This window comes from Homo sapiens, chromosome 2 (genome assembly GCF_000001405.40).
Source record: "Homo sapiens chromosome 2, GRCh38.p14 Primary Assembly".
In the NCBI taxonomy this organism is placed as follows: Eukaryota; Metazoa; Chordata; class Mammalia; order Primates; family Hominidae; genus Homo; species Homo sapiens.
Window position 1 is genome coordinate 171171938 of NC_000002.12, and position 13302 is coordinate 171185239.

The following is a 13302-nucleotide window of genomic DNA, read 5'->3' on the forward strand; positions in this document are numbered from 1 at the left end:
CGTTACATATATTCATCAAAAGCACATGTACAAGAATGTTCATAAAGCAGCACTGTTTGTAATAGCCCCAAACTAGAAACTATCTAAGTACTCATTAGAATAAATAAATTATAGAATATTCACATAATACAATACTATGCAGAAATGAGAATTAACAAATCACAACTAAACACAATGATGTAGATGAACTGTACAAAAATAATGTTGGGCAAAGGAAGATAGACATGAAAGATTACATACTATGTGATTCCATTTATATAAAGTTTAAAAACAGGCAAATCATTCTATGGGTTAAAAATCAGGACAGTGGTTACCCTTGAGAGGATAGGAGGGAGGCTTCTGAGTGACTGGTAATGTTCTGTTTCTTAGTTTAGGTTCAGGTTACAAAGTACGTTTACTTTGTGGAAATTCATCAAGCTATATACATTTAGATTTGTACACTTTGGTACATGTAGTTATACTTCAATAAAATGTTTAACAAATACAATAAAAATATAGACACACCACACACACAATACAAAATTATGGGAAGTATCTACTTAAACTAGTTGATATGGTTTGAATCTGTGTCCCCACCCAAATCTCATGTAGGATTGTAATCCTCAGTATTGGAGGTGGGGCCTGGTGGGAGGTGATTGGATCATGGGGGTGAATTTTCTCCTCCGTGCTGTTCTTGTGATAGTGAGTGGGTTCTCATGAGACCTGGTTGTTTAAAAGTGCCACCTTCCCCCATTTCTCTCTCTTGCTCTTATTCTGGCCATGTAAGATGTGCCTACTTCCCCTTCGCCTTCCACCATAACTAAAAGTTACCTGAGGCCTCCCCAGAAGCCACGCAGATGTCAGCATCATGCTTCCTGTACAGCCTGCAGAACTGTGGGCCAATTAAACCTCTTTTCTGTATAAATTACCCAGTCTCAGGTATTTCTTTATAGCAGTGAGAAAACAGACTAATACTCTAGTATTCTCATACCTTGTTGATAAACTGGTACAAACATTTTGGAAAGTGATTTGGATATATGTATAGTCCACTTTAACTGTATAACATACATATATTCCTATTTCTGAGAATCTTTCCTAAGAAAAAAATTCAAAATATGGGGAAATACTATGAATAAAAATGTTTATCACAGAGTCAAAGTCAATTATAACTATAGCATATCCTGTTAGTATAGTTTTATTCAGCCAGTTGTGACTACTTTGAAAACTCTGGTGCAACATGACAAAAGCTTTTGGTATGATGTAGGGTGAAAAAGGAAACAGAAACTTGTATGCTCACTATTATTATAACTAAGGAAATATACCAGTTAGAATAACATAACTAAAAAGGAAAACACACAAATGATATATATGCAACTTTCTTGCCCAATCTCATCTACTCTTGTGACTCATACGGATCACATATGTACAGAGCTAGACAGGATCTCACTCTGTTGCCCAGGCTGTAGTGCAGTGGTGTCATCACATCTCAGTGCAGCCCCAAACTCCTGTTGCCCAGGCTGTAGTGCACTGGTTTCATCACATCTGACTGCAGCCCCAAACTCCTGGGCTCCAGGGATCCTCCCACCTCAGCTTCCAGAGTAGCTAGGACTACAAGTGTGCACCAGCATGCCCAGCTAATTTTTTTTTCTTTTTTTGGCAGAGGCAGGGTCTCACTATGTTGCCCAGGCTGTTCTCAAACTCCTGGGCTCAAGGCATCCTCCCCGCTCGGCTTCCCAAAGCCTGGTATTATAGGTGTGAGCCATCACATCTGGCCCAATGATGACTCTTTAATTTGTTTCTTCAGCCCACATCTTTCTCCTGAGCTCCAGGAGGTTCAGAATTGACCCTATGCATCTCCCCTTGGATGTTCCACAGTTTTCTCAAATGTCTTCATCCTATATTCACTATCTTGGGTAGAAATGACCAGGAATAAGAACCAAGACAAGAACCCAGTTAGTTATCCAAACAAGAGAACTGAGAGTCATTCTTGTCACCCCCAGCTCCCCATTTCCCATACCTCCATCCCTTGCCACTCCCTAAGACTACGGTGTCTCTTAAACAGCCTGTTGAATCCATCTCCTCCCATTCATTCATCTGTCCATCCATCCGTCCTTCTTCCATTGCCTTAGTTCAAACTTTTATTATTTTTCCTCCTGGATTATTCCAAAAGCTTTCCAACTAGTCTTTCTAGCACTATGTGATTCTTTTTCATCTTTTTAATCTTGTTGTCACCTGCCTGTTTTCCCAGTTTTATATCTGGTTACTCTCTCATGGGAATCCCACACTGCAGCCACACGAAAGTTATTACAGTGACCAAACAGGTTATACACTCTGTTTCACTTCCTTTGCCTTCCTCCAGCTTGGAATTTCCTACTCCTACCTATTCTTTCCCCCACCCTTTTCCTAATCTTATTTGCTTGACTCACCATTCAAGATGCAGCTCAAGCCTCTCCTTGGCTAGAGAACCTTTGGGGAATCACATTGTTATATGATTGTAATCATGGGGTACACTAATTCTCCTTCTTGTTTTTATCACTAACATTAAAACGGAGCAATTTTTTAATTTGCCAAGGTACTCTTCATAATTATTATTTAACATGCAATATTAAGCTCTCTATCTCCTTGCTCCCATGGCATACTAGTATAATCTTTATTATATCACTTATCACTTTGTTTTAGAATTATTTTTTGCATGTCCTCCTCCTCCACTAAGCCCTGAGTTCCTTGAGGGCAAATACTTTTGTCATATTCATTTCTATATCCTTAGCACAGAGCCTGCTGCAAAGTAGGAATTCACTAAATGAAAGCTAGTCAATGACTAAGTAATGGTGATTGTGTTCACACAATAGTCTTTTGGATAACATTTTTTTTCCTTTTCTCAATTCCCCAAATTTTCTGTAGCTACTTATTATTTAGATTCACCATCTTTTTTTTTAAGGGAGATTTAGAATATAACTTTTAGTAATATTACCCTTAACATTTTAAATGATTTTTATTTATAAAATGCCTTATGACTCCCAACTTCACTCAGTAAGTACAATCAAGGCTGGGTGAAGTAGCTCATGCCTATAATCCCAACATGTTGGGAGGATTGCTTGAGGCTAGGAGTTTGAGACCAGCCTGGGCAACACGGCAAGGCCCCGTCTCTATACAAAATGGATAAAATCAGCCCCAGGTGCGGTGGTGCAAGCCTGTAGTCCCATCTACTTGGGAGGCTGATGTGAGAGGATTGCTTGAGCCCAGGAGGTCAAGGCTGCAGTGAGCTATGATTGTGCCACTGCACTCCAGCCTGAACTACAGAGTGAGATTGTTTCAAAAAAAGTACACTCAGCCCTCCGTATTCATGGTATCTATATCCATGGATTTAATCAACTAAAGATTAAAAACATTTGAAAAAAAAAAGAAATAGTAGTGGTTGCATTCTATGCTGAACATGTACAGACTTTTCTTTTTTGTCATTATTCCCTAAACAATACTGTATAGCAACTATTTACAGAGCATTTACATTGTACTAGGTATCATAAGTAATCTAGAGATGATTTAAAGTTTTTAAGTATGTAAATATGACACCATTTTATATAAGGGACTTGAGTATCCATGAATTTTGGTATGGGAAGGTGGTCCTTAAACCAATCCCCTATGGATACCAAGGGACAACTGTACATACACAATGAAGAAAAACTGGAGCACCATTTGTTATCTCCCATTCTATCTGTAACACACTTCATCATTCCTAATTAACAGTTACCTCTCAGTCTTTATCTAACTAGCCCTCCTAGCAGTATTTGATTCAGCTGATTGCTCCCTTCTTCTTAAACCTCTGTCTTTATTTGACCTCTGGGACACTATCCTCCCACCTTGATGGCCACAACTACCTCCCATGGACCCTGGTTCTCAACCTTGACTGCACATTAGAATCACCTGAGAAACTTTTTAAAAAGAAATACCAAATCCAGGCCCCTTTTGTATCAGAATCTTTGGGGCTGGAGTCAGGATATCAAGGTTTTTTTTTTGTTTTTGTTTTTGTTTTTGTTTTTGAGACGGAGTTTCACTCTTGTTGCCCAGGCTAGAGTGCAATGGCGCGACCTCTGCTCACTGCAACCTCCACCTCCTGGGTTCAAGCGATTCTCCTGCCTCAGCCTCCTGAGTAGCTGGGATTACAAGCATGGGTCACCATGCCCTGCTAAATTTTTTTGTATTTTTAGTAGACACAGGGTTTCTCCATGTTGGTCAGGCTGGTCTTGAACTCCCAACCTCAGGTGATCCGGCCGCCTCAGCCTCCCGAAGTGTTGGGATCACAGGTGTGAGCCACTGTGCCCGGCCGGGATATCAAGGGTTTTAAAGCAGTCCAGGTGATTCTAATTGGGACCAGTGTTGAGCAGCACACTGTGTGGGTTTAAAAACCATCTCTATGCAGATTAGTTCAGAATACATGTCTCCAGCCCTGACCACTCTCTGAGCTCCAACCTCGGCTAGCATGGCTTCTCTTGGGCTGTCTAATAACTCACATATCCAAAACGGAACTCTTGATTTTTGCCCCCAAACCTGTTCTTTCCCCAGTTTTCCCATCTCTGTAAATGGCCCCATTAGTTAGTAGTTGCTGAGGCTGAAATCCTAGGAATTGTCTGATTCCACACTTCCCACATCCACATAATTAAGTTCTGATCTGCTACGCATTAAAAGCATATTCTAATATTACCATTGCTCCTTTTCTTCATGGCTACCACTCTAGGCTACCGTCATCTCTTACTGAGCTAAAACAATAACTTCATAGTCTCCCTGCTTCCACTCCTGCATTCCTGCCCTACATTGCCCTCAGCGTCCACAATGACTTGGCCTCTGTTCTAGATCTTCAGCCTCCTCTCTGAGCATTCTCTGCCTTGCTCACTCTCTGCTTCACCTCATCGGCCTATTTTTTTTTTAATTTTTTTTTTTTAAAACAGTCTCCCTCTGTCACCCAGGCTGGAGTGCAGTGGCACAATCTCGGCTCACTGCAACCTCCACCTCCCGGGTTCAAGCAATTTTCCTGCCTCACCCTCCTGAGTGGCTGGGATTACAGGTGCCTGCCACCATGCCCAGTTAATTTTTGTATTTTTGGTAGAGATGGGGTTTTGCCATGTTGGCCAGGCTGGTCTTGAACTCCTGACCTCAAGTGATGTGTCTGCCTCTGCCTCCCAAAGTGCTGGGATTACAGGCATGAGCCAGTATGCCTGACTCCTCTTTTCTTTTTTCTTTTCTTTTTTGAGACAGGGTCTCACTCTGTCACCCAGGCTGGAGTGCCGTGGCCCGATCACAGCTCACTGCAGCCTTGACCTCCTAGGCTCAAAGGATCCTCCCATATCAGTCTCCAGAGTAGCTGGTACTACAGGCACACACCACCATGCCTGGCTAATTTTTAAATTTTTTGTAGAGATGGTTTTTTTGCCACATTGGCCAGGCTGGTCTCGAACTACTAGGCTCAAGGGATCCACCTGCGTCAGCCTCCCAAAGTGCTGGGATTACAGGCATTAGCCACCTCATTGGGCTTCTTAAAGCTGTTCCTCAAACAGAACAAGTACTGCTACCTCAAGACAGAAAGCCCTTGTGAGAGACCTCGGCATACAGAATCCTAAGTGTCTTGAGAGGAGGGAAGGGCATGGTTATTGGAAAGAGAAACCAAATTAGGAACAGAACTGGTCATCAAAGATATACTTTACCATTTTGTTTAGAACCTGTCTCTTTTCAACTAACAAAGTGATAGAAGTACAGCAATGTTTAGACTCAAGGTCCTTACTGAATAAGGCCCCCAAAAGGATATGGGAGCATGTCCTACCAAGACTATAGTGCATTTTTGAACAAAAAGCTTTTATATTAATAGCATCCATACTTTACTAACTAGCATTTTTTTTTCTTTTGAGATGGAGTTTCGCTCTTGTTGCCCAGGCTGGAGTGAAATGGCGTGATCTTGGCTCACCGCAACCTCTGCCTCCCGGGTTTAAGCGATTCTCCTACCTCAGCCCCCCAAGTAGCTGGGATTACAGGCATGCACCACCACACCTGGCTAATTTTGTATTTTTTAGTAGAGACGGGGTTTCTCCATGTTGGCCAGGCTGGTCCCCTGAGATCTCCCGACCTCAGGTGATCCACCCGCCTTGGCCTCCCAAAGTGCTGGGATTACAGGCATGAGCCACTGCACCTGGCCTTGCATTTTTGAATGCTTACTATATGCTAGGTTCTATACAGAGTGTTTAAATGCATTATCTAATATGCTCCTGTCAATAAACTCTATAAGATAGATAATATTGTTCTTCTCATTTTTTTAAGCAGTAAAACTCAGGTTTAGAGGGATTAGGGAGCTTGTCCAAGGTCACGCAGATATCAAGGGAAGAAACCAGGATTGGAACCCAGGTCTGCTTGAGGCCAAGTCTGTGCTCTCAACTGTTCTGCATAGGCCTTTATTCCTTTCAGTTTCCACAGATATGCTTCTTGATTTCTGGATGGAATGTCATGGAGCTTTCAGTTACAGACAGGAGCTTAAGGGAAGCTCTTTGGCTTCTCACCCTTTCTTGTCCTCCATCTTCCCTCTTCATTGACTCAGTATAAGACAGATAGGCTGGGGTGAAGACACCTCATAACAACAATGGTAACCTCAGCTAGAGAGCAGGCAAAAACAGCAGTGGAAAAGTAACTCCAAGCCTGACAACCAAAGCAACGAAGACATATCAAGCAAAACATTAGCTGAAATGAACTGAGAATCAGTCAGCTTTATAAGGAAAACTACAGGGAAGCGTAAGATTTTACTTGTCTAAATAGAGTCAAACAAAGCTGCTGTAATATATATTGCTCTTATTCTTTTTGTTAAGCAGTTATAGACTTATTAAACAGAAGAAATTTAAATGTTAGTTTAGGCATTCTACCATTTTCCTGGTTTGGGATATCAATTTAACTTAACATTATCAAAACAGTCTTAATTTTCAAGTATATGGCCTCTTACACAGATGACTATTAAATTTTATATATACTTTTTATTACATTGGATAATTCAGTGCATTTTTGGTGCTATAATTTTGAATGACTCTTTCCAGGGTTCTGAGGTAGCTTGCACCTGCTCTAGTTAGTGCTTTTTATAGCCTCATCTAATGATGGGTTTGAAGACTATTCTAATATTTCTTGTTACACCAGAATGGACCTTATATTCCATGTAAGAAGACATGGAATAACAATTACCAACTGTATAGGGAAATTGGCAATGCTACTGTGATGACAAGTACAGTTGGAGTGGTGTGATTGATTTATTCATTTCCTTAATAATCCTCATAGTTGTAATGAGTCATCCCTGTCTCTTATTCTAAATTACAGGGCACCCTTTTATTCCCAAATGAAATAAATATACATGATGACATTTTTTTCTTTCTCATTCTCATTTCAAAGACCTAATTTTTCATAATCTAGCAGTTAAGAGAATCAGACAGACATGAATTGGAATCTTGGCTAAGAGAAGAAAAAAGTTAGAGAAGGTGTGGATTCCCCAATGCCCCCTATTTGTCCTCTAGAGAGCTTTCAGAGGTTTTGAAACATGATAGGCTCTTTATTGCTATGAGTCTGACATTTAAGCAGTTAGCTCCTTATATTCCTTTTATGAGAAGAGAAGGAGTAAGCGAAGAAGAGAAAAAGGAAGTAGTTTTTGGTCTGACAATCAAGCAGACAGTATTTGTTCTATTTATCAATTTCATTATTCACAAATAAGGAGTAAGTAAAGGAGACATTAAGGAGCAGGAGCAGCCGGGTGCAGTGGCTCATACCTGTAATCCCAGCACTTTGGGAGGCCAAGGCCGGGTGATCACTTGAGGTCAGGGGTTCAAGACCAGCCTGGCCAACATGATAAAACCCCGTCTCTACTAAAAACACAAAAATTAGGCCGGGCATGGTGGCTCACACCTGCAATCCCAACACTTTGAGAGGCCAAGGCTGGTGGATCACTTGAGGTCAGGAGTTCAAGACAAGCCTGGCCAATATGGTGAAACCCCATTTCTACTAAAAATAAAAAAAACTAGCTGGGTGTGGTGGCATGTGGCTGTAATGCCAGCTACTCTGGAGGCTGAAGCACAAGAATCACTGGAACCTGGGGGCCAGAAGTTGCAGTGAGCTGAGATCTCACGACTGCACTCCAGCCTGGGTGATAGAGTGAGACTCTGTCTCAAAAAAAAAAAAAAAAAAAAAATTAGCCAGGCATGGGGGTGGACGTCTATAATCCCAGCTACTCGGGGCCACTGCACTCTGGCTCTGGCCTGGATGACAGAGCGAGAGCGAGAGCGAGACTTTGTCTAAAAAAAAAAAATTGCCCCCCGGGTCCCTGCGTCTCAATAGGCAGTATTTGTCATCAAAATTCAGGTCCTAATCTGATAGGAAGGGAAGACTTAGCATATTATCAGTTGTTTTACCCATATTGATATCTCTCTTCTTGAGTATGGATAATTGAAATCACAGATTAGCAACATGGGAGTGCTACAAAGTAAGGAGACCAATTGTTTTCTCCTTATGATTCCTGGAAACAAAAGAGGAACTGTCAGAACCGAGAAGACTACAACATGTTTTAACTACTTCAAGTATTATGGCCTTTTACACTGATGACTATTAAATTTTATATATACTTTTTATTGCATTGGATAATTCAGTGCATCTTCAGTGCCATAGGTTAGAATGACTCTTTCCAGAGTTCTGAAGTAGTTTGTATTTGCTCTGTGTGAAGCTTTGTGCTGATGTTACAAAGTTTCAGTAGTCCAGGAGGTTTTTCTGCATTGGCTTTAAAATGAGTGACTGTTACTGAGACACTGATTTGAGACTACATTTTCAGTCATGTAAATTCTGCAAATGAGTCACTTGACATGTTAGGACTATATGGGCATACAAATAATGTTAAGAGGATGCTTTTTTTTTTTTTTTTTTTTACTTTAGCATAATGTTCAAAGCTGGAGAAGATGACTTTTCATGAGAAGTAAAACTATAGGTCTAATGCAAATGTTAAAAAGTTCAGAGACTTGGGGCTTTAAAATATGATTAACTCTGATAATAATGGTTGAGGAGTTAAAGTTAGAACAGATTCATTCTGTAAAAAGCTTTGAGCACAAGAAAGTTTCTGTTTGTATAATGAACAAAAACAATAAAGGTTTGCCATTTGTTCTGATCTTTCAACAGAAGCTGGAAGAATTAATGTCTCATTGAGAGAAACAGTAGCTGAAACAAAATTCAATGTTTCTTTAATGATCTTGAAACAAAACTTCAAAGTTGGTAGTTGTAAAACACCATCACCAAGACCCCAAAATTGTCACACTCACAAGTGAAACAGTGAAACTTGTTTCTTAACTTCGATTGGTATGAATCATTCCATGTGCTTCATCAATGAGGTGTCCATATAAAGACTCTGAAGCATCTGAGAAATCCAAAGTAAAAAACCAAGCCAGGACCTAAGTGATCTAATTTTTTTGTACATCCTAAAGCTTCCCTTCTAACATATTAGCATCAAAGAGTTTCTACGTCCTCATCTCAGTCCATTTTGTGTTGCTCTAAAGGAATGCCTGAGGGTGGGTAATTTATAAAGAAAAGGTTTATTTGGCTCCTGGTTCTGCAGTCCATACAAGAAGCATGGTGTCAGCATCTGCTTCTGGTAAGAGCCTCAGGCTGCTTCCACCCATGGTGGAAAGCGAAGGGGAACTGTTGTGTGCAGAGATCACGTGGCAAGAAAGGAAGCAAGGAGAGGGAGAGGCACCTGGCTCTTTTTAATAGCCAGCTCTTAAGGGACCTAATAGAGCAATAACCTATTCCTCTCTAAACTTTAATCTCTTCTTGAAGGATCCACTCTCATGACCCAAACACCTCCCATTAGGTCCCACCTCCAACATTAGGGATCAAATTTCAATGTGAGATTCGAAGGGGTAGAGCATTCAAACTACGGCAGTCCTTCTCTCTCTCCATCTCCTCCTAATCTGTCAGCTGCCTCTGGCTTTACTTCCTTCCTTATCCAGCTACGCCCCACAATCCATCTCTTCGATCCTACTCTTGCCAAGACAATTAACTTGTTTACTCCTTTGAAAGATCACTTACTGAACCTACTCTGGGTCGATCCAACCAGTGGCTTTTCACTCCTATACCTGAGCATGTAGAGAAAAATCCCCATCAGACTATCAAAAAGGAATGCTAGTGATGACTATCTCTGGGAATAGGGCCATATGGAAATCACACTGTCTGTGCTAACAAATGTAGATGGAATTAGAAAATCACTTTTTGGCAATCAGCATAATAAAAATTGAGAAAAAGCCTCAATGGATGCTAATTTAGTGGGTGAAAGTAGAATGAGGAAGAGAATTTTACACGGTCTCAAAGTACTTTCCCCCAAATTCTTATTAATTACAAAGGAATAGAAGAATAATTTCTCAGAAACCTGGCATATACCATCTTAATCAACTGATCAAATTAATACCACCAGAAATGGGACATACTGACATTGTGGGCTACTTATTAGAATGCAGTAAGAAATTAGCTTCACTTCTATGATGTTCCAGCAGGATCTAAGTCAAATCAAAAGCACACTTCAGATAAGTCTAAACTGAGAGACATTCTACAAGGCCATGGAAAACAAGGAAATACTGAAGAACTATTTCAGGGTGGGAGACTAGAGAGACATGATAACTGGGTACAAAACATGGAATGTATCCTTTTGCTTTATAGCAAAAAGAATATACTGAGGCCAGGCACAGTAGCTCACACCAGTAATCCCAACACTTTGAGGGGCTGAGGCGGGAAGATTGCTTGAGCCCAGGAGTATGAGACCAGCCTGGACAACACAGTGAGACCCTATCACAACAAAAAATTAAAAAATTAGCCAGGTATGGTGGGGACATCCCTGTAGTCCCAGCTCATCCAGAGGTTGAGGCAGGAAGGTTTGCTCGAGCCCAGGAGGTCAAGGATGCAGAGAGCTATGATTATGCCACTGTACTCCAGCCTGGGTGACAGGTCAAAACCCTGACTCCAAAAAAAAAAAAAAAAGAAAGAAAGAAAGAAAGAAAGAAAGAAAGAACATTATTGTGACGCTGGACAAACTTGAATAGGGTCTCAGGACAAACAGTTTATGGGGGTTATTTGTATAATTCTTGCAATTTTTCTGTAAGTTTGAAGTTGTTTCAAATAAGTTGTCTGAAAATGAAGTTTAAAAACCTGTTTTTCCATATTAAAAATCATGATACATTACATATACAAAAAAGAATAAGTGTAATATATGTACATTAATGACATTTAAAAATAAAAATGAACATCTATGAATTTACTACTAAGTTTGAGAAACAGAAAATTTGTCAATAATGTTAAAGCTCCCAATAATGTTAAAGCTGTGGGTGTTCCTCTCCATCCACAGATAACTCTAAACTGGATAAGATATATCCTGAATATATCTTATCATTTCCTTGCTTTTCTTTAAAGATTTACCACATATGTAGAAATTCCTAATACTCCCTGATAGTGAAAGAGGTTTAGCTTTCTTACTCTCTGTTTATTAGTTACTTTTATTTTTTCTTTTCTAAATCATCTGTTTTATCCTTTGTCTACTTTCCTATCTGGTTGGTTTTATTCTTCATTGATTTTTTGATACTCTTTATATACTATGGATATTATCTGTCTATTATATATGTATATGTTGCAAATATTGTCTTCTAGTCTGGTGCTTGCCTGTTAACTTTGTAACTTTTTGCTTGTCTTTCATTGTATGGATGCTTTAAATAATTTAAATATTGGGCCAAGTCTGTCAATAGTTTAATTGATGACCATTGGGTTTCTTATCCTATCCAGGAAAGTCTTCCTTATTTAAAGATATCCTACTACATTTTTTCATACTTTGTTAGTTTTGATGTTTAGATCTTTAATCCATCAGTAATTTATTCTTCATTTATGTCATGAAGTAGGACTCTAAATTAACATTTTTTTCACCTGTAGTAGGCAGAATAATGGCTCCACAGAGTTGTCCATGCCATAAACCAAAGACCTGTGGATATGTTACCTTACATAGCATAAGAGATTTTCCAGATATGGTTAGGATTGTGGAGATGAGAAGATTATCCCAGATTGTCTGGGTGGGTCCAATCTAATCACACGGGTCCTTCAAAGTGGAGAAACTTTCCTAGCTGTGGTCAGAGGGCGATGTGACTACAGAAGAATGGTCAGAGACGTGCAATGTTACAGGCTTTGGAGACTGAAGAAAGGGCCAAAAGCCAAGGAACGAGGGTGGCTTCTAGAAGCTAGAAAAGGCAGGGAACTAGGTTCTCACCTAGAGAATCCAAAAAGCAGAAAGCCCTGCTGACACCTTGATTTTAGCCCAGTAAGATCTATGTCAGGTTTTTGACCTACTGAACAATAAGAAAAGAAATTTATATTGTTTAAGCCATCAAGTTTTTGATAATTTGATAATTAGAAAACTAGTGCCAGGCGTGGTGCCTCACGCCTGTGATCCCAGCATTTTGGGAGGCCAAGGCAGGCAGATCACCTGAATTCGGGAGTTTGAGACCAGCCTGACCAACATGGAGAAACCCCGTCTCCACTAAAAATACAAAATTAGCTGGGTGTGGTGGCTCATGCCTGTAGTCCCAGCTACTAGGGAGGCTGAGGCAGGAGAATCACTTGAGCCTGGGAGTTGGAGGTTGCGGTGAGCAGAGATCACGCCATTGCACTCCAGCCTGGGCAACAAGAGCAAAACTCCGTCTCAAAAAAAAAAAAAAAAAGAAAGAAAACTAGTATATCTTTCTAACCAACATCTCTAAAAAAAATTCCATTCATTTCCTACTAAATTAAAATGTCATCCTTACTGTATGTATAATTCCTATTCAATGTTGGTTTCTGAACTCTATCCTGATCCATTTATCAGAAAGGATCTCTTTTCACCATTTATAATTATGGTTGTTTGTTTGTTTGTTTGTTTGAGATGGAGTCTTGCTCTGTCACCCAGGCTGGAGTGCAGTGGCACGATCTCGGCTCACTACAAGCTCCGCCTCCCAGGATCAGGCCATTCTCCTGCCTCAGACTCCCAAGAAGCTGGGACTACAGGTGCCCGCCACCATGCCCAGCTAATTTTTTGCATTTTTTAGTAGAGATGGGATTTCACCATGTTAGCCAGGATGGTCTCGATCTCCTGACCTCATGATCTGCCCGCCTTGGCCTCCCAAAGTGCTGGGATTACAGGCGTGAGCCACCGAGCCCGGCCTATAACTATGTTTTAATCACTGTTACTTTATGTTTTTAAATGTCTTGAATCATCCCTCTCCATTTAATCCCCATCCTTACCTCTTTATTTGGGACCTCATC

At 40.4% G+C, this 13302-nt stretch overlaps 1 protein-coding gene across 1 annotated transcript in view, besides 2 other annotated features; it reads right to left on the minus strand.

Moving 5' to 3' along the window:
• Nucleotides 1–13302, minus strand: part of TLK1 (tousled like kinase 1) — a 240471-nt gene that overhangs the window by 181115 nt on the left and 46054 nt on the right. The gene's annotated exons all lie outside the window — the stretch shown is intronic.
• Nucleotides 1215–1544: an enhancer, noted in NCBI's record as "active region_16745". NCBI's record gives its function as "activates an Ori minimal core promoter by ATAC-STARR-seq in GM12878 lymphoblastoid cells {active_cell/tissue: GM12878}" and the evidence as "EXISTENCE:reporter gene assay evidence [ECO:0000049][PMID:35858748]".
• Nucleotides 12626–12830: a silencer, noted in NCBI's record as "fragment chr2:172041073-172041277 (GRCh37/hg19 assembly coordinates)". NCBI's record gives its function as "represses an EF-1alpha promoter that drives an FKBP-Casp9 reporter gene in an ReSE screen in K562 erythroleukemia cells {active_cell/tissue: K562}" and the evidence as "EXISTENCE:reporter gene assay evidence [ECO:0000049][PMID:32094911]".